At 36.2% G+C, this 27,731-nt stretch overlaps 1 pseudogene across 1 annotated transcript, besides 1 other annotated feature; it reads right to left on the minus strand.

Moving 5' to 3' along the window:
* Positions 1–25: 25 nt before the first annotated feature.
* On the minus strand, positions 26–27,610 carry FRG1JP (FSHD region gene 1 family member J, pseudogene; annotated as a pseudogene). The gene is made up of 9 exons (NR_033907.2): positions 27,105–27,610; positions 26,443–26,625; positions 25,176–25,244; positions 12,187–12,357; positions 10,800–10,925; positions 5,707–5,808; positions 2,412–2,503; positions 1,315–1,424; positions 26–136 (listed from the first exon to the last, which is right to left on the minus strand). The product of NR_033907.2 is annotated as an FSHD region gene 1 family member J, pseudogene (transcript).
* Positions 21,147–21,347: a silencer, noted in NCBI's record as "peak7254 fragment used in MPRA reporter construct". NCBI's record gives its function as "represses an SCP1 promoter by STARR-seq MPRAs in K562 erythroleukemia cells {active_cell/tissue: K562}" and the evidence as "EXISTENCE:reporter gene assay evidence [ECO:0000049][PMID:32103011]".
* Positions 27,611–27,731: the final 121 nt, after the last annotated feature.

Genomic DNA, 27,731 nt, shown 5'->3' on the forward strand with positions numbered 1-27,731 from the left:
AATAAGTTCACAACAACTCAAGAACTCCGTAAAAGCATTTCCTCTGAATATTTTATTCAGAAAAAAACACAAAAAGATAAGGCAGAAACAAAAATCCCAGTCATTTGCAGTATCTGTCGGCTTTCAATTTGGTTCTCTTGTTTAAATAAAGAAAAATAGTAAAATTAATCTATGTAAAACATGTCATATATATTCAATTGCTACTAAATATAAAAAGCTTTAAAACTGTGTGTTCAATTTTGGTTAGTGTATTACCACAACACTTATATTAAAATATGTATACTTTTAAATTTGGTTTCTATAAAAAATGGATTCTAATCTTATAAAAGTTATTTCCTAATATTCAATAAATGTTGCCTAAGGGCTTTTTCAATCCAAATAGCAATTTTAATTATTCTGGAATTTAAGGGTGCTCTAAATTTCCATTTAACAGGGTGAGAATGCTGTATTATTACAAGTGAAAAAAGTTACAGGACATAAAGCGTATTCCATTTTAGACTCCACATCCTGATTATATTTTATATCCTCTTCTTGATTTCTTACAACTAGATACATACTCATTTGCTCAGCTGGAAAAAATTCTTAACGTTATTTACTGACTTTAGGTATGAACTCTACCAGCTGGTTAACAGGAAATATGTAATTAAACATTGCCTTTATCAAGTAATGTAAAAAAAGGGTAAGAGTAACTTTCCAACATAGGACTTGAATGAGCGGCTGGTGATTATCAAAATCTGGCACTTAATTGATTTATACTTGTAGACTCACAGCTAAATGTCTCTACCTGTTTTTCTATGTTGTAAATCTAGGACATCACTTATGTACATAGGAATAGTAATAAATATTAATAATGTGCTATGATAAACATCCTGCACTCTTCCAAATCTTACAATAAAACTGCTTCAATTTCACTTGTTTAGCTTTTATACTTAGTTTTTTAGTTCATCTATGCTTATTTTAAGGAACCTGAACTACTCTAATAGAATCCACATAATTTTTATATTAGTCAAACTGCTTCTTTCTAACTCTGGTTCTAATAGTTATAAAAAGATAATGATAAATTTATGAAGTAGATACAGTCAAACCTGAATTTCTTAAAGTATATGCTTAGAATCGGTTATAATTTTTAGATATTCTTTCTTGACAGTCTTTTCCCAAACTCATGATGTCCTCTCTAGGTAATATTGCCACATTCATAAATTAGAAATAAAGGCAAAAATGTGAAAACTACAGTAATTTAAGAGAATGTAGGTTTTCTATATGCCATTTCTATTGGCTACTGAAAATAGTGGAAATAAGTAAATAAATAGCTACCTGTCCAGAAGCATCTCATGCAAAAATCCATCTTTCTGCATCTTTTTAAGAATTTTACTGCTTCTTTACTTATTTTAAGTTTGTGGTCTTGGAAGCTCTGAAATTTCTTTCTGCAAAGAAAATGCCTTCATTGAAAAATACCTCAAACTCTGATTATACATATTTACTATTAAATTTATAAATACTGTTAATTTCTTTTTCACTTATTAAAAAAGTCTAATTGTAGGCCAGGCGCAGTGGCTCATGCCTGCAATCCCAGCACTTTGGGAGGTCAAGGCAGGCAGATCACTCGAGGTCAGGAGTTCGAGAACAGCCTGGCCAACATGGTGAAACCCCGTCTCTACTAAAAATACAAAAATTAGCCGAGCGTAGTGGCGCGTGCCTGTAGTCCCAGCTACTGAGGAGGCTGAGGCAGGAGAATCACATGAACCTGGGAGGCAGAGGTTGCGATGAGCCGAGATCGTGGCACTGCACTCCAGTCTGGGGGACAGAGCGAGACTCCGTCTTGGGGGAGAAAAAAAAAAGTCTAATTACATTTTTTTAAATAAGCTGGAGCTTTTGAACAACAAAGATAACCTTCGTGACCTCTCAAGAGGAGGGCCACTCATTGACTGGGTAGCAGAAGGCCCCACTTCTATTAGGGCATGCTGGCTGGAGTCCCCTGTGTCCTGGTCATAGCACAGCCTTTGACTGGCATCACGCCCATTCTATGAATGAATAGAGAGATTGACTAACCTGAGTGACTAGCTTTGGGAGCTGTTAGGATGATTAGGAAAAATGAACCCTCAAGAAAAGAAAAGCATTTAGCTCAGTGCTCTGTCCTAGAGGCTACGTTGTGTTGCCTCTTCTTGTCCATCAGTTTTCATTTTTTCAGACAGGGTCTTGCTCTGTCACCCAGGCTGGAATGCAGTGGTGATCAGAGCTCACTGCAGCCTTGAACTCCTGGGCTCAAACAATCCTCCTGTCTCAGCCTCCTGAGTAGCTGGGCCTACAGGCATGCCTCACCATCCCCAGCTAATTAGGTAATTTATTTTGAAAGCACTTTGAGAAGCACTTCACTGTCAAATCTGTAGGTCTAAAAGGAAAAGCATACATACACATAATTGATTTCACATTGTTTTACATTTCCTTTGTCTTCTTCTGGAATGTCATCTTTTTTCTTGGTTTCTCTTTCAGCACAGGATCTAATCTAGATATTGGAAAAGAGAATCCAATGGGTTATATGTTTATCTTCCACCTTCCCCACTTTACGTATCACATAAGAACATTCGAGATGATTTCTTATGCAGAAGAAAAAATTAACTGAGCAACTATATTCAGAAAAAGACAGGTTCTGGCTATGTGTTTTTACTTCATATATATAATCTATATGAGTAAGTGCTATCACATGCTTCCTCCGCAGCCCTTGTGTCAGAAACACTACAGACAAAATTATTTCAGAAACATTTTACACATCAGATCCTGTTAGGCAGTAAAGCAATCATTAACTAATTTAATTTTGTCCTCCAAGTCAATACACTAGGATCAAATTATCCCTAGTAGACAAGTGTTCATTTGATCAAATTGAAAGCTTAATAGCTATTTTAGATTGCACAGACTATTACCAAAGTATTAAAACTTTTAACATTACACAACTTCTTTTTAATTAATTGGAACCCACCTCTTTTACTAGCTTCTTATATCCTCCTAAGTTTGGATAGATGTTTACTATCACATGTCATAAGTTAATTGATCTGCATTCAACAATTAGGATCACCCACAGAACAGGCAATTGGCAATGGTAAGGACTCATGTCTCCTAAGGGATCTCTGTGGCCAGAGTCTAGTTCCAGGGCTGCTTAGAAAGTGATGACAAATAACATGTTTGTGCCAATGACATCTTTGTGACAGTTTTGATTAGAGGGGTCCCAGACCTGAAAACATTCCCTGCTAAGGCCTGTAGCACAATGCTACCTTTAGTAAGAGGGATCTGTGTTCTGATAGATAAGGCAAGGTCATAAAGGTGAAGGGCTGACAGAGATTAGGAGAGCCTGTAATTAAATGGTACAAAAAGAGTCCTAAATAATCACTGTTCAGAACTTCCAAGTACTTGACTAACCAAAGAGACCCAGAAAACTTTGTATTTCATCTGAAAATTGCTTTAAATAGTGAAAAATGCAATCTTTGTGTAAGTATCTTTGTATCTTTGTATAAGTGCAAAGCACTGCACATATATTTGCAATTGTTGCCTTCAATAACACTTTTGTGATGATATCCAGATGAAAAATAATTTAAACATGATACAATAAAATATAAATAAATTAAATTAAATGTAAGTCACAAACCCATCTGCATTTCCTCAATGACCTGTTTCCTGAGAAGCAATGTGCTATGAAATACTGAGACTGGCCTCTGGAGTCAGCTGGGCCTGGGTACACATCCTGTCTTACCACACCTTGAAATCACTGTGATTTCCATGAACTGACTGACAAAAACCACGAGGATGTAAGGAGGGTCGGAGGCTGTCTTACTGTCTGTAAGGCTGAGCTCACATCCACCTCACAGGAGCATTATGGAAATTCAAGACTACAACGCATGTGCCGGATGCATGCAATGAAAAAATATAACACTTCACTTCTCTAACTGTAAGAAAATACCTACATTTTAGATTGAAATTGTTTGAGCTTTAGATTTGAAATTATCTGAAATCAAGACTATTCTAAAAAGAAAATCAAACACATGACTGGAAATCTAACATGAAGCACATACAGAGAATTGATAGATGCTTTTAAATTACACTGGTAGTAGAGAAAAATGTAACATAAATTTTTATGCTCTGATTATAAGAACGAAGGGCATTTTAGAAAAGGCATTTGCCCCCTCTCTTAGAGCCTTCCACTCTGGCCCCCACAATGTCTGACAGAACAAATCTGGGTCAGACTGGATGCAACCTGTGATTCCCAAAAGAGACAAACAAAGCAAGGTTCAGGATGCTCAGTACTGCGATGGAATGCCAAGACACAGAAAAACCATGTGTCAAGGGGGGAGTTATTCTTTAGACACATCCTGATATATGTTTATCATTAAAGATCAGTGGCTTTTGTGAGTCTAAAAAATTAAGCCTTAAATGTTTTCATCAAATTCCAGTTAACTACCTGATTTATCTAGGTTATATTAACAGTATTATTTAGAATTTCACCTTGATATGAAGATGTCTGTGTAACTTTTACAATGATGTAAAACAAAGAGTAGGATTAGGGAGGGCACAGACCACTGGCGCAATGGATAACGCGTCTGACTACGGATGAGGGAATTTAGCCTGGAATAAGGAACTTTTATTTCCAGCTTAGTGACGCACACAAATTTTAAAAATAAAATAAAAATCATGTTTTATGTGATTCATGTTTCTCCTAATGCAAAGAAGACGGGTACTATTACTAAAAATATTTTTAAAATGTAAGGGCTAAGGCCCCAGAAGTTCTGCTATGATTTTTTATGTTTCATAGAGTGATTATCATCACAGAAGCTCAAGCATTATGTAAATACAAACGCGTATACCCCGACCTGGTAATTCTGCTTCTTGAAATTTATCTTCAGGTCCACCCACACATCTACAAATTGATGTATATTCAATGTTATGTACTGCAGCACTGTTTGTAAGAGCAAAAGACTGGAAACAGCCTAAATTTCCATCTATAAAAGACTAAATAAATAAAGGTACATCCCTAAAATGGAATATTATGTGGCTGTTAAAAAAGAGAGAGAGAGAAAGAGAGGAGAAGCAAGAAAAAGAGAAAACTTTCTACATTCAAACTAATAGTAGAAAACTCTCCAAGACACAATTTTAAGGAAAAAAAAAATCAAAGTCGAGAAGACAATAGAGGAGGCTGCCTTTAGTGTAAGACAGTTGAAAATTATAAATATATTCATATGTTTATAAAGAAATTTTAGGAGGCTATAAAAAAACAAAACAAAGGGAAAGAGGAACAGGAACTGGGACACAGGTGAGTAAGATGCATGGCAGGTATATGTCTTCAACTTCCTATGCTTTTATTTAAAAATGTTGGACCACGTGTACATGTTATCTATTTTAAAAATTAGATTTTAAAATACAAGCAAGAAAACAAGAAAATGAAAGCATAAAAAGAGCATGTGGAACTACCAGAAAAATATACTAATCCATGGAGATAATGACAAGGTAGCTCCTAGATGCACTGATTTCTCTACCACATTGTATAAACAAGCCATCAACTATGGGATTTGTAATTAAAAATGAGTCTATTTGAAACACCACACTATAAAAAGCTATTAAGTAAATCTTTAAAGTGACAGTAAATGATGACTTAACATTTTAAAGAGATACAGTCACATCGCATGTGTGAATGCAGTCATCTGTATAAAATGTCATCATTACCTTGATCATTTCTTCTTCTGCTGTTTTACTTTTTGCTTCTATGTCCCCTGCTTCATTGTATCTAATAAAGCATCTATTTGAGGCCAACAAAGCCATTTTCCCCTAAGTGAAACAAAATAACAAAATAGCCATGAGGATACTTCTTGTAGAAGAAACATTAAGTGTTTAGACTGAATGAATTTTTCCTCCCTGATTTAAAAATCACAGAAAAGAACTTAGAGAAAAACCTGAAAAATATAATACAAGAACATATAGAAAAGGAAACCAAAATCACCTTTCATTTTGCTATTCAAAGATTGCCACAATAAATATTTGTAGTGTATCTTCCTAGTAGGACTAAATTCTAATTAGATGAGGTAGGATTACTTCCTTTCTAAAAGATCTACTGAAGATAAAACTGATTTAGTTCTGTTTGAAAAATTAGCTTTAAAGACAAGAACATAATTATGAATGCATACTTTATTCAAATATTAGCATTTTAAGTAAAATTTATTTTCTTCACAATTAGAAAACATGAAAAGGCATATACAATGCCTTTGGTGTTTTGAATTTAAGAATCAATGTCTGAGGGACTTTTGTGTGTGAAAATAAATATTCATATACATTTTTAGTTGTTTAATGTTTGATGTATTACACTGCTTTCTATTAAACAAAACTTTAAAAACTGATTTTCTTGTGTATCTAAATCTGGGTTATAAATTTGGTTAGCTTAACTCCTGTAACAAATATAATGTTTATTTATAACTTGTATTTGGTTGATTCTTTTGGAAAACTAGGAATACAATAACATTTAGATAAAATATTTATAAATACAATGATTACAATATATGTTAACCTTATATCACATCCAGTTAAAAACGTGCTGATAACATGGATTTAATTTCTTAGTCAAGTCACAAGGGCTGGGTGGTCTCTCATCTTGATGGCTCCCGGTGAGCCCTGGAACATGGCGGTGTGGTCCAAGGCAATTTAAACCTGTGCCACAGATTATTCAGCTGAGTCCTTTTTGCAATAGAGTTTTAAGACCCTCTTTCATTTAAATTTAAATTTTTGAAACTTAGTGTCCTTCCTAAAAATAAAATGAAATGAAGTTTCCTAAAGTGTTGTATTATTAGTACTATCTAAGTCATCATCCTGGTCTTATGAAATATTGGCATTTTCTACTGGTGTAACTTTTATTAGAAGCATCTCATCATAACTAGTAGGATCATCTCAAAGGGGTTGCAACACATTAGCAGGTAATGAAATCAATGTAGTGTTTCCTGAACGGTATTGGGTGGGGGGGGGAAGAATACACACAGACACACAGAGGAAGGGGTAAAAGAGAATAAGAAATATCAAGACGCATAACACACGGATAAGTAAGTATTGTTAAGTACAACTCTTGCTTCAGTTATACATATGTGTGTGCTGGGCTGCAATGTAAAAATGCATTTCTCAATGGATTGGGTCAAAACATTTTTCAAGTCACTGACTTAAGATTTTATCCTAGGGGATGAGGAAATTAGTCTAAGTGATTACCTCTTTCTGGTGGGATGTTTGTTTAATCTGTCATCTTAGAAAACACTGCTGAGTTCCTATTTTCAGTTCATTATTGTATACAACCAAAGCTGCTACTCAAAGGCTGAGCTTATCTTCTATTTGCTTGTTCTGCATGGTGCCCAATGGTCCTTACTGTTTTTGATATAGTTATCTACTTTTTAAAGACAGTTTAGCACTCACATATTTTTGTTCAATCTTTACTTCTCACACAAACAGAAAAAGGAAATTATGTATACTGTATCAACAAAGATTTAACAAAACATCCATACACTACAACTGTCTACTTACTAAAATTAAGAATTAGTATATTATGTTTTTTCTTCTTATATTAAAACTATCTTTTCATACACTATTTTAAGCTTATGAACTGAGTCTTTTAGAGATAATTTACTTCAATGAACTATTATTATTTATATTTTATTAGCAAATTGTCACAACTTGGTCTTAGCTAGCTCCACTGTTCGCTTACAGTCGCTAAAGTTTCTGAAAGCATCCATGATTTCTGCTACAAAGAAGATACTTAGGAACGATTCTGTTTTCCTACTCTGTGACCTAAAATTGACTGGTTCTTCAATGGAAATGAGATCCATATCGGGCACTAAGGGTATACAGAAATAATTGTGGGCAAAAGTACTAAAGCTATTTTTGTTGCACTATATTTTGAGATCTCTTTAAGGCTCTGTGTTCTTACTGATTTATTCCAATTTAATGTATTATACTATTGCATCCTACTTTTTCTTTTTAAATATATTATTATTGACTGTTACAGACTTTGTGTTAAACTGACAGGAAGTTTTTATAAACAATAACAGCATTCATATTTTGAAAGACTGGTTCCCATTGTTCTCTTGGTCCAATTGCATCTGAACGCCAACAACAAGTTCATCTGAATTTATACCAAGATATTTTCCACAGCCCGGTTTCAGGGTGATTCTGTACATTAATAAGATAGATAAAAGTTAAAAACTGAGAGAAAATTAATTATAGGTCATCAAAACAGGACATGTGTATGTGTGTGGGTGTGTACATATCTAAAATTCCAGACTGGACATATTCCAAGTGTTCAAAAGATGCATGTGGCTGAGTGGTGACTCACTCCTGTAATCTCTGTGCTTTGGGAAGCCAATGGGAGAATTGCTTGAGGCAAGAAGTTCAAGATCAGCCTGGACAACATAGTGAGACCCCATCTTTACAAAAAATTTAAAAAGTTAGCTGGGCATGGTGGTGTGCACATGTAATACCAGCTACTTGGGAGGCTGACGCAGGAGGAGTGCTTGAGCCCAGAAATTTGAGGTTATAGTGAGCTATGATCACACCACTGCCCTCCGGCCTGGGTGACAGATTGAGACTCTGTGCCTTCAAAAAAAAAAAAAAAAAAGCTACATGTGACTAGTTGTTGCCATATTGGACAGCACAGTTTTAAATTTAGTTTTATATTTTGCTTTTTTAATAGAAACATTGTACCTTATATATTAAATAATAAATATTTTCAAAATTCATCACGCTTCAATTATACCTCTTTAGTTAAAAACTTCAATAATAAATTACTAAAACTTTATGTCATCAAACTGTTTTCCAGAAAATGCTGCTTCCATTTACATTCTTAAATTAACAGAGCATGTTTTGTATCATGGATTTTTTTTTAAACGTTATGACTCTAAAAAAATACTTGAAAACCTGATATGAAAAAAACAGTATCCTATTAATTTGCATTTTAGTAGTTAACTAGAATAACAATTGTTTTTCTTTTCCTTTCCTTTTTAGTTTTTAGATTATCTGGTAATGTTCCTTGTCCATTTTTCTATTCAGATCTGATTGTTCGCAATTTTTCTACTGGGGTCTTCAGTGCTATGAATTCTATACAAGATACATATGAAGAGTAAGAACTCACTGCCTATTAAGATTGTTGCAAATATTTTCTCATTTGTCAGTTTTCTTTATAATCCTTTTTTGTTTATAATTGTAAAGCAGTTTAAAACTATTGAATTTTTCTTCCTCTGCTTTTATTCTTTTTCACCCTACTTATCAGACTTTCAAAGAAAGTATAGAAATAATCATCTTAATGTGATTTTTTAAAATTATGATTTCTTTTACCTTACCAAGAATCTCCACAGATGCGAGAATTGACTTTTACTCCTTTATAAGTTAATGATTATATAACAGAAATCATTATCATGTTGATGTAACCAATTACTAAAATATGTAAATTCACTTTCAGTATCTTTTACCCGAAGAATCATTCTATACTTCTGCACAAGGGGAGAATAAAAAAGGTTACTTTATAAAATGACTGTAAAAATAGTGAGTAAAAATATTCCTTTGGTCGTTATGATGCTGTAACATTCTCTGCTGGTTTCAACAATATTCCTTTTTTTTTAGTCTTCCTGTTTGTCTTTAGACTTCCAAACAGTGAGTTTAAATATCATAGCAACAGTGAACCAGGTTTTGTACTATTTATTTTTTAATCTATCTTATTTGGTGTGTGAAATTATTAATCTTCATCTTTTAACTTACATATCTTTTTTCCAGCCTAGCATTATATATTGATAGGAAATCCACTAAAAGTAGATCACAAAATCTACTTTTCAAAAAAGCTATTTTGTTTTTTATATCAAAATTACCATGGGCTTAAGACAGAAACTAAAATTTTTAATGAATACAATTAAATTTTTAAAATAACTGGTTACTAATTATATTACAATATAAGTTCACCTGGAATCAGATAATTTGACAGCCATAAACTGCTCTGGAGGACTAGGGCCCTCATCAACTATTGGAGAAAAAATATTTGAAAATAAATTTGACATATGCTATAAATATAAAGACATTATTTTGCTTTAAAAAATGTGGCTATTTTCTTCTGCAATTAAATGTAAGAATATTCAGATATACTGATGTCACTGTAATACTGTATCTTTGGAATCAAGATCTATTTTACCTTCTTTTAACTACAGTGCTAATTTTATACACTGAGTGAGACAGGGTGATATAATGCTTATTTAATAACTTTCAAGATAGCTTCTCTTTATGTTTTAAAATACAGTCATAAATAAGCACTTATTTAAAAAAGCTAAATGCTTTCATTTATTCAATGGATGGCCTTGCTGATGAAATGATACTGCTTTTTATCTTCTAGTTACTTCATATCTCATTAGTGCTTCCTCTAATGGGCTAAAGAAAATGTGGAAACTTCAAACTGTTGAATGCACCCAAGTTAGTTTTGGTAATAGGTCTGAATAAAAAAGAAATTCAAATATGTTTGACTCAAATAGGTTTTCTTTTTTCTCTCCACTTACTATTTTAATTATTCATATTGTTTTGATTTCCAAAGATACTCTTCTGGAACTATACGGAATGTTTTCAAATGCTTATATTAGAAAGAGGGACTTGCCAATGGCTGGTAAATATTAAGGAATTTAAAAAAATGGAAGAGTCAAATGCAATGGTTCCATTCCTTTGGAAAATGTTTGAGACTAGTTAGAGTTTGGCCTAAGTGAATGAATGTCCTAAAATCTACACTTGTGGCAGGATCTTCCGTTCCAGACACAAACCTTCTTTGTGTGGAGCTCCCAGGGTAAAAAGACCATTGTCGAGTGCATGTATATAGGTTCCCTCATCCATTTCAATGGCTAGGGTTCCTGAAATTTCACCAAAGTTTGTTACTGTTCACCAGATTCCTAAAAAATAAAATTGATATTACAACTTTATATTTTAGTTTTGACACAGAGTTCTTTGTTATTATAACTTAGTTTTAAAAACTTTATTTTGCAGTCATAAGAAATACTAGGAAGATCTCACATATCCTTTACTCGCTTTGTCTCAGTGATAACATCTTGCATAAGTATCATACATTGTTAGAATCAGGAAACTGACATTGATATAATCCATGAAGCTTATTCAGATTTCACCAGTTTTACATGTACTTGTTTGCATATATATGCACAGATTCATGCGACTACCAGCACAGTCAGGATTAGGTTTTAAAATACACAATAGCAACATACAGCCAGGCATGAGGGTGCATGCCTGTAATCCCAACTACTCGGGGAGCTGTGAAAGAGGATCACTTGAGCCCAGGAGTTCAAGGTTATAGTGAGCTATGATCATGCCACAGCACTCTAGCCTGAGTGACAGAGCAAGGTCCTGTCTCAAAAAAAGACCAAAACAAACCAAAAGGCAACATGTGAAGGTACAAAGTGATATATGGAGAACAGTCTCTCTCATGATAGACCCCAGCCATCTATTCATGCCTGCTTTCCAGAGGCAATGCCTATCATAATGCTTCTTAAAAATGCCTCTACAGGAAGACTTTCTAGCATAGTAATTTTTTTTTTTTTGAGATGGAGTCTCGCTCAGTCACCCAGGCTGAAATGCAGTGATGCGATCTTGGCTCACTGCAAACTCCACCTCCTGGGTTCAAACAATTCTCTGCCTCAGCTTCCCGAGTAGCTGGGGTTACAAGAGCCTGCCACCATGCCCAAATAATTTTTTTTGTATTTTTAGTAGAGACGGGGTTTCACCACATTGGCCAGGCTGGTCTTGAACTCCTGACCTCGTGATCCACCCGCCTCTGCCTCCCAAAGTGCTGGGATTACAGGTGTGAGCCACCGCGCCCAGCCAGTAATCTTAACTACGATTTTAGATTGAAAGCAAAATGAGCAGAATCTATGTCTATGTATACTAATGTCCAATTTGCCAATATAAATGTTAGACTCTAGCAATAATTATTTTAGCAGTTGTTATAAAAGTTTATATCTTAATGTTAAAAAACATCCTCAAACCTCCTCCTAAATTGTACTTTAACTAGAGTAGAAATGAGTCAATCATTAACTGGATATGACATATTAAGGAATTCTTGTTAATTTTACAAGGTCTGATAATGACATAGTATAATGTATAAAAGTAAAGAACAAAACAGGAGATGAGAGAAAGACATACCACGTTAAGAAATGTATATTTATTTTTTTCAAAGTTTTCAACTTCTTTGCCTTTGGTTTGAATGTCCTCCCGTAGCTCAGAGTAATTTGATCATCTGAAGCCTTCTTCTCTCAGCTCTTCAAAGTCATTCTCCGTCCAGCTTTGTTCCGTTGCTGGTGAGCAGCTGCGTTCCTTTGGAGGAGGAGAGGTGCTCTGATTTTTAGAGTTTCCAGTTTTTCTGTTCTGTTTTTTCCCCATCTTTGCGGTTTTATCTACTTTTGGTCTTTGATGATGGTGATGTACAGATGGGTTTTTGGTGTGGATGTCTTTTCTGTTTGTTAGTTTTCCTTCTAACAGACAGGACCCTCAGCTGCAGGTCTGTTGGAGTATCCTGCAGTGTGAGGTGTCAGTGTGCCCCTGCTGGAGAGTGCCTCCCAGTTAGAATAACCAATATAGAGAAGTGCTTAAAGGAGCTGATGGAGCTGAAAACCAAGGCTCGAGAACTACGTGAAGAATGCAGAAGCCTCAGGAGCCGATGCAATCAACTGGAAGAAAGGCTATCAGCAATGGAAGATGAAATGAATGAAATGAAGTGAGAATGAAAGTTTAGAGAAAAAAGAATAAAAAGAAATGAGCAAAGCCTCCAAGAAATATGGGACTATGTGAAAAGACCAAATCTACGTCTGATTGGTGTACCTGAAAGTGATGGGGAGAATGGAACCAAGTTGGAAAACACTCTGCAGCATATTATCCAGAAGAATTTCCCCAATCTAGCAAGGCAGGCCAACATTCAGATTCAGGAAATACAGAGAACGCCACAAAGATACTCCTCGAGAAGACCAACTCCAAGACACATAATTGTCAGATTCACCAAAGTTGAAATGAAGGAAAAAATGTTAAGGGCAGCCAGAGAGAAAGGTCGGGTTACCCTCAAAGGGAAGCCCATCAGACTAACAGCGGATCTCTCAAGCAGAAACCTTACAAGCCAGAAGAGAGTGGGGGCCAATATTCAACATTCTTAAAGAAAGGAATTTTCAATCCAGAATTTCATATTCAGCCAAACTAAGCTTCATAAGTGAAGGAGAAATACAATACTTTACAGACAAGCAAATGCTGAGAGATTTTGTCACCACCAGGCCTGCCCTAAAAGAGCTTCTGAAGGAAGCGCTAAACATGGAAAGGAACAACCAGTACCAGCCACTGCAAAATCATGCCAAAATGTAAAGACCATCGAGACTAGGAAGAAACAGCATCAACTAATGAGCAAAATCACCAGCTAACATCATAATACAGGATCAAATTCACACATAACACTATTAACTTTAAATGTAAATGGACTAAATGCTCCAATTAAAAGACACAGACTGGTAAATTGGATAAAGAGTCAAGACCCATCAGTGTGCTGTATTCAGGAAACCCATCTCATGTGCAGACACACACATAGGTTCAAAATAAAAGGATGGAGGAAGATCTACCAAGCAAATGGAAAACAAAAAAAGGCAGGGGTTGCAATCCTAGTCTCTGATAAAACAGACTTTAAACCAACAAAGATCAAAAGAGACAAAGAAGGTCATTACATAATGGTAAAGGGATCAATTCAACAAGAAGAGCTCACTTCTTCTTGTGAGAGAAAGACGTGGTATGTCTTTCTCTCATCACCTGTTTTGTTCTTTACTTTTATACATTATCCTAAATATATATGCACCCAATACAGGAGCACCAAAATTCATAAAGCAAGTCCTGAGTGACCTACAAAGAGACTTAGGACTCCCACACATTAATAATGGGAGACTTTAACACCACACTGTCAATATTAGACAGATCAATGAGACAGAAAGTCAACAAGGATACCCAGGAATTGAACTCAGCTCTGCACCAAGTGGACCTAATAGACATCTACAGAACTCTCCACCCCAAATCAAGAGAATATACATTTTTTTCAGCACCACACCACACCTATTCCAAAATTGACCACATACTTGGAAGTAAAGCTCTCCTCAGCAAATGTAAAAGAACAGAAATTATAACAAACTATCTCTCAGACTACAGTGCAATCAAACTAGAACTCAGGATTAAGAATCTCACTCAAAACCACTCAACTACATGGAAACTGAACAACCTGCTCCTGAATGACTACTGGGTATATAACGAAATGAAGGCAGAAACAAAGATGTTCTTTGAAAACAATGAGAACAAAGACACAACATACCAGAATCTCTGGGACACATTCAAAGCAGTGTGTAGAGGGAAATTTATAGCACTAAATGCCCACAAGAGAAAGGAGGAAAGATCCAAAATTGACACCCTAACATCACAATTAAAAGAACTAGAAAAGCAAGAGCAAACACATTCAAAAGCTAGCAGAAGGCAAGAAATAACTAAAATCAGAGCAGAACTGAAGGAAATAGAGACACAAAAAACCCTTCAAAAAATTAATGAATCCAGGAGCTGGTTTTTTGAAAGGATCAACAAAATTGATAGACTGTTAGCAACACTAATAAAGAAAAAAAGAGAGAAGAATCAAATAGATGCAATAAAAATGATAAAGGGGATATCACCACAGATCCCACAGAAAAACAAACTACCATCAGCGAATACTATAAACACCTCTATGAAAACCAACTAGAAAATCTAGAAGAAATGGATAAATTCCTTGACACATACAGTCTCCCAAGACTAAACCAGGAAGAAGTAGAATCTCTGAATAGACCAATAACAGGAGCTGAAATTGTGGCAATAATCAATAGATTACCAACCAAAAAGAGTCCAGGAACAGATGGATTCACAGTGGAATTCTACCAGAGGTACAAGGAGGAACTGGTACCATTCCTTCTGAAACTATTCCAATCAATAGAAAAAGAGGGAATCCTCCCTAACTCATTTTATGAGGCCAGCATCTTCCTGATACCAAAGCCAGCAGAGACACAACCAAAAAAGAGAATTTTAGACCAATAGCCTTGATGAACATTGATGCAAAAATCCTCAATAAAATACTGGCAAACCGAATCCAGCAGCACATCAAAAAGCTTATCCACCATGATCAAGTGGGCTTCATCCCTGGGATGCAAGGCTGGTTCAATATATGCAAATCAATAAATGTAATCCAGCATATAAACAGAGCCAAAGACAAAAACCACATGATTATCTCAATAGATGCAGAAAAGGCCTTGGACAAAATTCAACAACACTTCATCCTAAAAACTCTCAATAAATTAGGTATTGATGGGACATATTTCAAAATAATAAGAGCTATCTATGACAAACCCACAGCCAATATCATACTGAATGGGCAAAAACTGAAAGCATTCCCTTTGAAAACTGGCACAAGACAGGGATGCCCTCTCTCACCACTCCTATGCAACATAGTGTTGGAAGTTCTGGCCAGGGCAATTAGTCAGGGGAAGGAAATAAAGGGTATTCAATTAGGAAAAGAGGAAGTCAAATTGTCCCTGTTTGCAGACGACATGATTGTATATCTAGAAAACCCCATTGTCTCAGCCCAAAATCTCCTTAAGCTGATAAGCAACTCCAGCAAAGTCTCAGGATACAAAATCAATGTACAAAAATCACAAGCATTCTTATACACCAACAACAGACAAACAGAGAGCCAAATCATGAGTGAACTCCCATTCACAATTGCTTCAAAGAGAATAAAATACCTAGGAATCCAACTTACAAGGGATGTGAAGGACCTCTTCAAGGAGAACTACAAACCGCTGCTCAAGGAAATAAAAGAGGATACAAGCAAATGGAAGAACATTCCATGCTCATGGGTAGGAAGAATCAATATCGTGAAAATGGCCATACTGTCCAAGGTAATTTACAGATTCAATGCCATCCCCATCAAGCTACCAATGCCTTTCTTCACAGAATTGGAAAAAACTACTTTAAAGTTCATATGGAACCAGAAGAGAGCCCGCATCACCAAGTCAATCCTAAGCCAAAAGAACAAAGCTGGAGGCATCACACTACCTGACTTCAAACTATACTACAAGGCTACAGTAACCAAAACAGCATGGTACTGGTACCGAAACAGAGATATAGATCAATGGAACAGAACAGAACCGTCAGAAATAACGCCACATATCTACAACTATCTGATCTTTGACAAACCTGAGAAAAACAAGCAATGGGGAAAGGATTCCCTATTTAATAAATGGTGCTGGGAAAACTGGCTAGCCATATATAGAAAGCTGAAACTGGATCCCTTCCTTACACCTTATACAAAAATCAATTCAAGATGGATTAAAGACTTAAACGTTAGACCTAACACCATAAAAACCCTAGAAGAAAACCTAGGCATTACCATTCAGGACATAGGCATGGGCAAGGACTTCCTGTCTAAAACACCAAAAGCAATGGCAACAAAAGCCAAAATTGACAAATGGGATCTAATTAAACTAAAGAGCTTCTGCACAGCAAAAGAAACTACCATCAGAGTGAACAAGCAACCTATAAAATGGGAGAAAATTTTTGCAACCTACTCATCTGACAAAGGGCTAATATCCAGAATCTACAAAGAACTCAAACAAATTTACAAGAAAAATCAAACAACCCCATCAAAAAGTGGGCGAATGACATGAACAGACACTTCTCAAAAGAAGACATTTATGCAGCCAAAAAACACATGAAAAAATGCCCACCATCACTGGCCATCAGAGAAATGCAAATCAAAACCACAATGAGATACCATCTCACACCAGTTAGAATGGAAATCATTAAAAAGTCAGAAAACAACAGGTGCTGGAGAGGATGCGGAGAAATAGGAACATTTTTACACTGTTGGTGGGACTGTAAACTAGTTCAACCATTGTGGAAGTCAGTGTGGCTATTCCTCAGGGATCTAGAACTAGAAATACCATTTGACCCAGCCATCCCATTACTGGGTATATACCCAAAGGACTATAAATCATGCTGCTATAAAGACACATGAACACGTATGTTTATTGCGGCATTATTCACAATAGCAAAGACTTGGAACCAACCCAAATGTCCAACAACGATAGACTGGATTAAGAAAATGTGGCACATATACACCATGGAATACTATGCAGCCATAAAAAATGATGAGTTCATGTCCTTTGTAGGGACATGGATGAAATTGGAAATCATCATTCTCAGTAAACTATCACAAGAACAAAAAACCAAACACCGCATATTCTCACTCAGAGTTGGGAATTGAACAATGAGAACACATGGACACAGGAAGGGGAACATCACACTCTGGGGACTGTTGTGGGGTCGGGGGAGGGGGGAGGGATAGCATTGGGAGATATACCTAATGCTAGATGACGAGTTAGTGGGTGCAGCACACCAGCATGTCACATGTATACATATGTAACTAACCTGCACAATGTGCACATGTACCCTAAAACTTAAAGTATAATAATAAAAAAAATAAAAAAAAAGCAATGTACATTTATGTACTTATGGATAAAATGATGTAATATCTGTGATTTTACTTAAAATTTTCTAGGAAAAAATGTTTGTGGGGGTGTGTATGTAAATGAAACAAAATTGGCAAAATATTGATAATTAATGCTGGGGCCTGGGCACATGGGGGACTCATTATATTCTTCTATGTATGAATTAATTTGGATATTTCCATAATAAAAAGTTTTTAAAGATTCAGTTAATTCCACTGCACAAAATTTTCTATTCAACTAAACATTTCATGCTTTTCATAATCAATTTTAAAATACATAAAATTTTAGCTAAAATGAAGTTGGACCCTTATCTAACACCAAATACAAAAAGTAACTTAAAATCGACCAAAGACCTAAATGTAAGAGCTAAAGTTACAAAACTTTTAGAAGAAAATGGGAAAAGCTTCACGACAATGAATTTGGCAATGATTTCTTATATAGAACATCAAAGGCACAGGCAACAAAAGAAAACACAGACAAACTGGACTTCATCAGAATTAAAAACTTTTGTGCATCAAGAACCACTGCCAACAGAATAAAAGGCAACCCAGAGAATGGAGAAAATATGTGTAAACTACATACATTATAAGGAATTAATATCCAGACTATATAGAGAACTCCAAAAAGACAAATGCCACAATTCAAAACTGGGCAAAGGATATATATGGACATTGCTCCAAAGATGATATACAAATGGCCAATAAGCACTCAAAAAGACGCTCAACATCACTAGTCACTTGGGAAATATAAATCAAAACCATAATGCAATACCACTTCACACCCATTAGAATGCTATTATCAAAACAAATAAAAAACAGAAACCAAGAAAACCAGAAAAACAAATGTTGGGCAGGATGTGGAGGAACTGAAACCCTGTGCAATGCTGGTGGGAAGGTAAAATGGTGCATGTATTTAAATGCCACTGAAGTGTACACGTAAAAATAGAAAAACTGGCAAATTCTATATTCTGTATATTTTACCTCCACACACACATGAAACCAATGGAGAAAAAGAAAATTAATCAAAATAGACAATTAAAAAGAAATAAAACTAATAAGCAATTTAGATGATTGAGTTATAGCTACAATTGTTTTCAGGAAAAGAAATAATGCTTTATTCAGAATCATTATCAACAATGTTATGTTTAGCAAGTCTTTCTTATAAATGTAATAGTTAATAATTTTAAATTAGTTTTATTTTGTATGTTCTATGCCACTTTCACCAAGTACACTTAAATAAAATCATTTAAATATAATATCTCATTAATGTTTTGCAAATGAAGAAGAAATTTCTGGCAGACAAGCTCCTCAAAATTTTCACACTCTGTCCAAGTAGGGAAATGATAAAATAACATTACTTATAATATTGTCAACAGAAAAAGAAATTACTTTGAGCAGATGCCAGTATTTCTTCTCAATGAGATTTCAAAGAATAAGAAAGCTAAACACAGTATTATCAAGAATTAAATGTGAGCATTCTGCCTACTTTCTGCAAGTGGCCTACATTCAACCTTTGGAGGTATGCTTATACGTTTAACGACTAAAGTAACATAACATAATACTTAACAGTGCCACTCAGGGGTTTTAGCTGTGAAAAAGCAGTGGATCCTAAGAACAGTGGGCACTGAAGTTGCCTGTCTCTATGTCAGGTTACAGCTCAAGCTGTGTATATGCTGCAGACGCCCAAGCTGAATTTAAGAGAATCCGCTCTAAAACATTACTTGCTATTTAGACACATGCTTAAAGTTATTTCCTTTTAAACCTTAGGCAGATTGTGAAATATTCCCGATGTATTGTCTCACAATGCATAACAAAGCTTTTCACATATTTTCAGATATTTGGGAATGTTTCCATATGTCTGGCATGCCTGTAATCCAGCACTTTGAGAGGTGGAAGCAGGAGAATCACTTAAGCCCAGGAGTTCAAAATCAGCCTAGGCAACAAAAGGAGACCCCCATCTCTACAAAAAAATTAAGAAATTAGCTGGGCATGGTGGTAGAAGACTGTGGTCCCAGCTACTCGGGAGTTCGAGGTGAGAGGATTGCTTGAGCCTAAGAGGTCGAGGGTGCACTGAGCCATGATCATGTCACTGCACTCCAGCCTGAGCAACAAAGCAACAGCCTGTCTCAAAGAAAAACAAAAAAAAAAAATCTGGCCCGATGCACCAGTGTCATGGCTGATAAGATACTACCAGGGCACCCTCATTCTAGCATCAAGGCTGTGTGACAGCTCACCTCACCTTCTGACTAACCCAGTGCTTCTGTGCTAAGGGCCCCCTTAAACCTCTACCTTCATTATGTGCTTGGCACAAAGGAATGATATATCTTAGATTTGGAAATGGAATTTTCTTCCCCAATCTTACTGTAGTCTAAGTACCCTTCACAGACCTTCTATTAACCCATAGCTTACTCAGCTTTAGTTCCTGGGTAAATCAAATCTGTGTTTTGCAAACTACGATGTTGTAAGTTCAATTGCTTCTGAATCTAGCAGAGCTCAGTGAAACTCTTTGCTTACAGGCATGCTCATTTTTATTAATGTCACACACGGTATTCTCCATGTGAAAGACAGAATTTCTTTCATCCTATTTACCAATCCCTTCAGATCCTTGTGAGGAACCAACAGAACAGCTTTAAAAAATTAAAAGTGTTTTTTCTTTCCCTTCACAAATAGGCACATGCTTACTTATATGGCAAGTTTAGAAAATCCACAATGCAAAAGAAGGTAGAGGGACAAGGAGAAAAAGACACAGAAGGACTTCCTCTTCCAGCCAAGATGGATTTGCCCTCCCACCATGACCAACGAGAAAACTGAAGCTGGATAGAATATTTGAGAAAACTGTTTTCGGGGATTGGAACACAGGCAGAAGAGGACTGTGATATTTGAAAACAGGAAAACACAGGAGGCAAATCTCACACACACTTCTGTTTTCTGCCCAATGGCAGTTTCTTGACCACACAGAGAGAGGTAGAGACCTCCAAAAATGAGGCAATGTCACTGTCACTAAGCTGAGAGTCTTGTAGTGCTAACATGTTTGGAGTTTATAGAATAAGGTACTGGAGAAGAGGGAACTACATAGAGGTGAGGCCTCAAAAGAGAATGCAAAAGTTCTCTGCAGGTCTGGGGACAAGGGCTGGGGGGAGTGCATACAGCAGGCAGGCTCCACAAGGCCTCTGCAGAGTGGCTGGCACTTCTGAGGGCTGACTGGAGATGCCAGAGAGCACACAAATTTGGGACATAGCAGAGTGGAGAGAACTCATCAAGTATACATAGAACATGTGGCTGAGGCCCATGAGGTTGAACCTTTCCTAGAATAAGAGTCACTGTCTAAGTCTACAGGCAAAAACCTAATAAATAATCACAAACTAACAAAGGCCCAGGCTTGACAGGAGCAAAAGTGTGGTCAAATAATATAACTAGGCATCAAGACATTTAACAGAAATAAAGGTTAAAATGTTATGAAAATGAAAGACTGAATTTATAAGGAAGACTTAACAATCCTAAATGTGTACACATGACAGCTTCAAAATACTTTAAGCAAAAACTGCTCAAGTAGACAGATCTAGAATTAGAGCTGGAGATTTTAACATAACTCTCAATACATTGTAGGATGAGTAAAAAATCAGTAAGGACACAGAAGATGTGCATAGTCACAAGCTCCACCAGTTGATCTAACTGATATCTAAAGAACACTGAACCGCTGGGCGCCATGGCTCACGCCCGTAATCCCAGCACTGTGGGAGGCCGAGGCGGGCGGATCGCCTGAGGTCAGGAGTTTGAGACCAGCTTGGCCAACGTGGTGAAACCCCGCCTCTATTAAAAATATAAAAAAAATTAGCCAGGCATGGTGGCAGGTGCCGGTAATTCCAGCTCCTCCAGAGGCTGAGGCAGGAGAATCACTTGAACCTGGGAGGCGGAGGCTGCAGTGAGCCGAGATCGTTCCACTGCACTCCAGCCTGCTGGGCAACAGAGTGCAACTTCATCTCCGAAAAAAAAAAAAAAAAAAAAAACCCTGAACCAACATCTACAGAACACACATTCTTTTCAAGTGTACATGGAAATTCACTAAGAATGTATGTTCTCCAACTATACTATAAATGAATTAGAAATCAGCAACAATAACATACCTATAATATCTCTATGTAGTAGAAATTAAAAAACAATACACTTTTAAATAACTCTAGTGTCCATGAAAAGAAAAATCACAAGGAAAACTAGATGATATTTTGAATGGAATGAAAATGAAAGCAAAATGTGTTGACTATAACTAAAACTAACGTGGAATGAAGAGATCTAACTCTCTTCTTAAGAAGCAATAAAACAAGAGCAAAGTAAACTGAAAATAAGTTAAAGGGAGGGAAAAAAAAGACTGAAAATAAATGAAATAAAAAATGAAAAAAAGAGAAAATAAGTAATACTGAAACAGGCTTGTCCAACCTGAGGGCTGCATGTGGCCCAGGCCAGGTTTGAATGCAGCCCAACACAAATTCGTAAACTTTCTTGAAACATTATGAGATTTTTTTTTCCTTTTTTTTTTTTGGCTCATCAGCTTATCGTTAATGCATTCTATGTGTGACCCAAGACAATTCTTCTCCTTCCATTGTGGCCCAGGGAAGCTAAAAGAGTGAATACCCCTGTACTAAAAGATCATTAATTATCTAAAATAAGTGATCTTATAAAGAATTGATAAACCTCCAGCTAGACTGACTGATCCAGGAAAAAATAGAAAAAACAAAAATTACCAATATGAAGAGACTGCAATACAGATTAGATTCTACAGACATTAAAAGGATATTAAAGGAATATTCTGAAAAATTTTATGCCAATAAATCCAACAACTTGGATGAAATGAAATTTTCCTAAAAGACACAAATTACCAAAACTGACAACAGAAAAATCTGAAAATATCTCCTAAAAAATCTTAATTCTCCCACAAAAAACTAAAACCAAACCAAACAAAACCCTCTAGGTTCAGATTACTTCACTGGTAAATCCTATCCAACATGTAAAGAAGAAATCATACCTATCTTACACAGCTATTTCCAAAAACAGGGAAGGAGACAGCACTTCCCTTCTAATTTTATGACACCCAATATCACCTTGACACCAAAATCAAATAAAGACATTACAAGAAAAGGATACAAAAATCCAATATCTCCATCAACACCAATATACAAATCTTAAAAAAAAAAAAAACCTAGAAATCAACTCTAGCAATATTCCAAAGGACAATGCACCACAACCAAGTGGGGTTTATCTCAGGGATGTAAAGTTAGTTTAAAAGTTGAAAATGAAACCAATGTAATTCATTGGCAGAATGAAGAAAGTTGTATAATCATCTCAACAGATACAGAAAGAGACATTTGACAGCATTAAACATCGTTATGATAAAAACTGCCAAGAAACAAAGCTTAAAAGGAATGTCCTCATTTTGATAAAGGTTTTCTCTGTAGATCGTACAGACATCATACCATATGGTGGACTACTGAAAGCTTTCTGCCTAAGCTTGGAAACAATGCAATTATGCCCATTCTCGTGACTTCTGTTCAACACTATGGAAGTCCTGGACAGTATAATAAACCAATAAAAAGCAAGACAAGACATAAAGATTAGAAAGAAAGAAGTAAAACAATAGTCACAGGAAACATAATTGCAAATTTCTTAGTTTTCTATATAAACAAACCACTAGAAGTAATAAGTGAAACAGACTTATCAGACTATAAAGTCACTATACAAAAATCAATTGTATATCTACATACTGACAGCAAACAACTGGAAAGTCAAATCCAAAAGTTCTACTGACAGTAATGTAAAATTATAAAATACTTAAGAATAAATTTTTAAACAGGCATGCAAGACTGCTACATTGAAAATTATGAAATATTGAGGCCCAATATTAAGATGTTGATTCTCCCCCAAATGATCTGGTCTCAATACAATTCTCCGAGAAAATCCAACAGGCTTCACTGTAGAAATTAATAAACTAATAGTAAGTACAAAGTTGGAGGACACACACTACCTGATCTCAAGACTTCATGAAATTATAGCAATCAAGAGAAATATACCAAAAGAAAAACAGACAATCGATAGAACAGAGTCCAGAAATAGACCAATACATGGAAAGTTAATTGACTTTTTATGAAGATAAGAAACTGGATTAATGGAAAAAGGAAACACCAGTGGTGCTGGCACAAATGACTATCAAGATGTTAAAAAAAAAAAAGTAAATCTTGAAACCAAACTCACACCATGCCAAAAATTAATTTGAGATTAATGACAGATTTAACGTAAAAACTAAAACTATGATTCCTCTAAAAGACAATGTAGAATATTTTCCTGACTTTGGGATAAGCAAAGATCTCTTAGATCAAAGAGATAAGGCAGTAACCATAAAAGAAAAAAAATAAACTAAGCTTTATAAAAATTAAAAGCTTCTGACCATCCTGGCTAACATGGTGAAACCCTGTCACTACTAAAAACAAAAAAAATTAGCTGGGCATGGTGGCAGATGCCTGTAGTCCCAGCTACTTGGGAGGCTAAGGCAGGAGAATGGCATGAACCTGGGAGGTGGACCTTGCAGTGAACCAAGATCGCGCCACTGCCCTCCAGCCTGGGTGACAGAGCGAGACTCCATCTCGGAAAAAAAAAAAAAAAAAAAAAAAAGCTGTCCATCCAAAAACCACCATTAAGAAACTGAAAAGGTAAAACTCAGACTGGGGGAAAAGACTGATAACACCATCAACTCTTGGCAGGGATGTAACTGGAGAACTAATTCATTCTTGGTGGGAGGATAAAATAGCACAACCACTTTAGAAAATTTTTGACAGTTTCTTATATAGTTAAACATTCACCTATCCTTTGACACAGCAATTCCACATCTACATATCTACCCTAGATATTTACCCTAATTTTAGAATTGTTGATTTGCCATTTCAAAAGCAATGATTCTTCCAGAACATTAGCTTTACACCATTCCATATTTTATATATTTTTTAAGCTACCATAATTTATGAAGATTCAAAATGCAACTTGCCAAGTTTTAAAAGAAAAAAAAGTATGGAAACAGCTAAACGGAAAACAGGCTGGTTAAGTGTGTTTGGGTCAGTTTATTTCTAGTATCATTTACAGGCTACCCTGATATTGTATTTAAAATTTTCATTCATTTCAGAGTTCACAAAATAATGATTTTTCCTGTGAAGATACTTCGTTTAAGAGACAACTGACTTCTACAACTAAAATGTACACATGTTCAAAGAAAATAGCTTGTAAAATATATTTGGTTGAATAACATTTACATTAAGCCTTTAAAATTATGTATCAGAATCTCCGGCTATTAAGCAGTCTAATGGAGCCTACTAAGTCAGAGAGTTGTAATTCTTCTTTCCTGTGCTCTGTTCTGATAATGAAGTAAAGGCATCAGTAGCATCTACTGTGCTAAAGAATAAATGGAATTTACAACTGTAGGTAATATTTAAGCACTTTAAGACAAATATGAATACATCATAAATTTCTAACTAGGAAAATATTTTCAATGAGATCTCAAGAAATGTTAACTTTTTTCAGAATAAAGCACTGAAAACTGACTCACCAACATATCAAGCTGGTTTCTTCATCTTCTTCTCTTTTTCTCTTCTTATCTTTGCTCTTTTTCTTCTTACTACAGGACATAATTTATATAGATGAGTTTAAGTATACTGATTTGTGTGATAAATAAGTATCATAAGATTGAAACTTGGAAGTCTTTTAAGTTGTTTCATTTATAAATTATTGATTTAGGAAGACTTACATTGCTATGCCCTCTTAAATACAGTACTGAGAATTTGCTTCAGGCTTTGTATATATTATGTTAAAGTTCAAAGCAGAGTGTAGAGCCACACCTCCAGATTTTAAATCCTGATTCTGTCACTTCTTAGCTCTGCAATTTTTGGAAAAGATACTGAATGTCTCTGTGAGTCAGTTTCCCCATTTAAAAAATTAGGATAACAACTTAACTCTTAAGGCTATTGTGAGGATTAAGAGGTAATATGTATCTTCACACATTGCTGGTGGAAATGTAAAATGGTGCAGCATCTACAGGAAACAGTTTGGGGTTCCTCAAAAAGTTAAAGAGTTACCATATGACCCAGGAATTTTACTCCTAAATATGTATACCCAAGGGAAATGAAAACATACACCCACAAAAATCTTACATAAGAATATTCACACTAGCATTACTCACAATAGTAAAAAAGGGGAAACAATCTAAATGTTCATCAACTGATGAATGGATGAACAAAATATTACATCCATACAATGGACTACTACGCAGCCATAAAAAGGAACAAGTGCTACAACAATGATGGACCTCAAGAATGTTGTAAGTGAAAGAAGCCAGATACAAAAGGCCACATGTTGCATGATTTCTTAGGAAATATTCAGAATAGGCAATTTCACATAGATAGCAGACTAGTGGTTGCCATGGACTAGGAGAGGGGGAAGATGGGATGTGACAGCTTTAATGGGTAGGAAGAGATTTCCTTCTGAGGTGGCGAAAATGCTGAGCAACTAGACAGTGGTGAACCTCTTGAATATATACTAAAAACCACTGACTGTACAAAAGGGTGAATTTTATAATTATGAATTACATCGCAATAAAAAAATAAAAACCCAAGAGGGATTTGAAAAAAGTTAATGTGCAAAGTGCCTACAACAATTTCTTGGCGCATTGAAAGTGCTATATAAGCATTAATTATGATTATTACGATAATCTTAAGACACTCTTGTCTGCATTTTCATCATAAAGTTTTCAGAAGATAACTCACCACTCCTCATAGGAAATTCACAGAGTAAAAATCTCACATTCATTCAGGATATACCTGCCATTTATTCTGGCATCTTCATGAGGCCAGACTCCTCGAGAGGGTTCTCAAGGGCAGTGGCTTCAGCTCACTCCTTGATACTTTCTTTCCATCTCGCCTAACAATATCAAAACTTCTGTTTATCACGGAGGCCAGGAGGAAATGCTCAATATTTGTATGTACAGTCAACCTCAGGCAAATCTGCCAGTTAAAAAAGAAGCAGGGATATGAATGCACAGTTATTTTTCTCCTAAAGAGCTAATAAATTACCACTACAACATCCTCCTCACATTTGGCTCAATTTATTTACTGCATGTATGTTCTCTCATTTAATCCTCACAGTCTTCTAAAGGTATAAAAAATGGTCTGAAAGTATAAATGTGTAAACGGAGGTTCAGATACTTGATCTCTTAATGAGTAAATGGAAGTTCAGACATATTAACCAATTTGCCACAAATTACAAAATTAGTAAATGACAGAGTGCAGGTTCCAGCCCATATCCCTATCAAAGTCCATATACACCTCAACCACTGTGTGATTCATCCTGGTTTCACTCTACATATTAGCTTAGAAAAAAATTAATCAATAATTTTTCCAGGAAGAGACAATGGAGAAAAGAATAATCCCTAATAAAGGAAGTTATTATAATGAACTACAAGATCAGACTAACGCACACCCACCAGGCAGAGGCCTGGAGAGATGCCTCAGGGGACCCAAACTCGTGGGTACGGGGCCACGGGTCACCCGCCTGTCTATCCTGTTTCCAGGGTCGTCCGCGCAGGAGGCTTCCCCTCTCTGCACAGGCGCCAGGAAGGGTGGTCCGGCCTCCGTCCAGCCCAGACAGGGTCAGAGCGAAGCCTGGGAGGCCACGAAGCCGGCTCTCCGCACCACGGCTCCCACCGGATTCGCGGGGGTGGAGTGCGTCCGAAAAGAACTGAGGAGGCTCCCGCCGGAGCTGCAGGACCCAGCTCTTCACCTCGGTTCCCTTGAGCACAAGCTTGGTAGACTTCACATAAGAGTACTAGGCCATGGCTCCGGGAGACTTCTGTGCAGAGGCTGAAGCCAGCTCAGGACGAGTATGTGACCTGGAGCAGCACCAGGGCGGGGAGGAACAGAAGTGTAGGCGAAGTAAACACTCCCTGACAGCGTAGGTCTGTCCAGAACCCACCTCCGTCTTCACCCAAATGCTGAATGGCTGAGATTTCCACTTCCGGGTTTCTCCCGGGGCGGGGGGGGGGCGGAGCTACGGCGGCTGCAGAGGGCCGAAAGGTGTCCGCACGCATCTGCTCCCTGGCACCCTCTCGAGG

This window comes from Homo sapiens, chromosome 9 (assembly GCF_000001405.40).
Source record: "Homo sapiens chromosome 9, GRCh38.p14 Primary Assembly".
Lineage (NCBI taxonomy): Eukaryota > Metazoa > Chordata > Mammalia > Primates > Hominidae > Homo > Homo sapiens.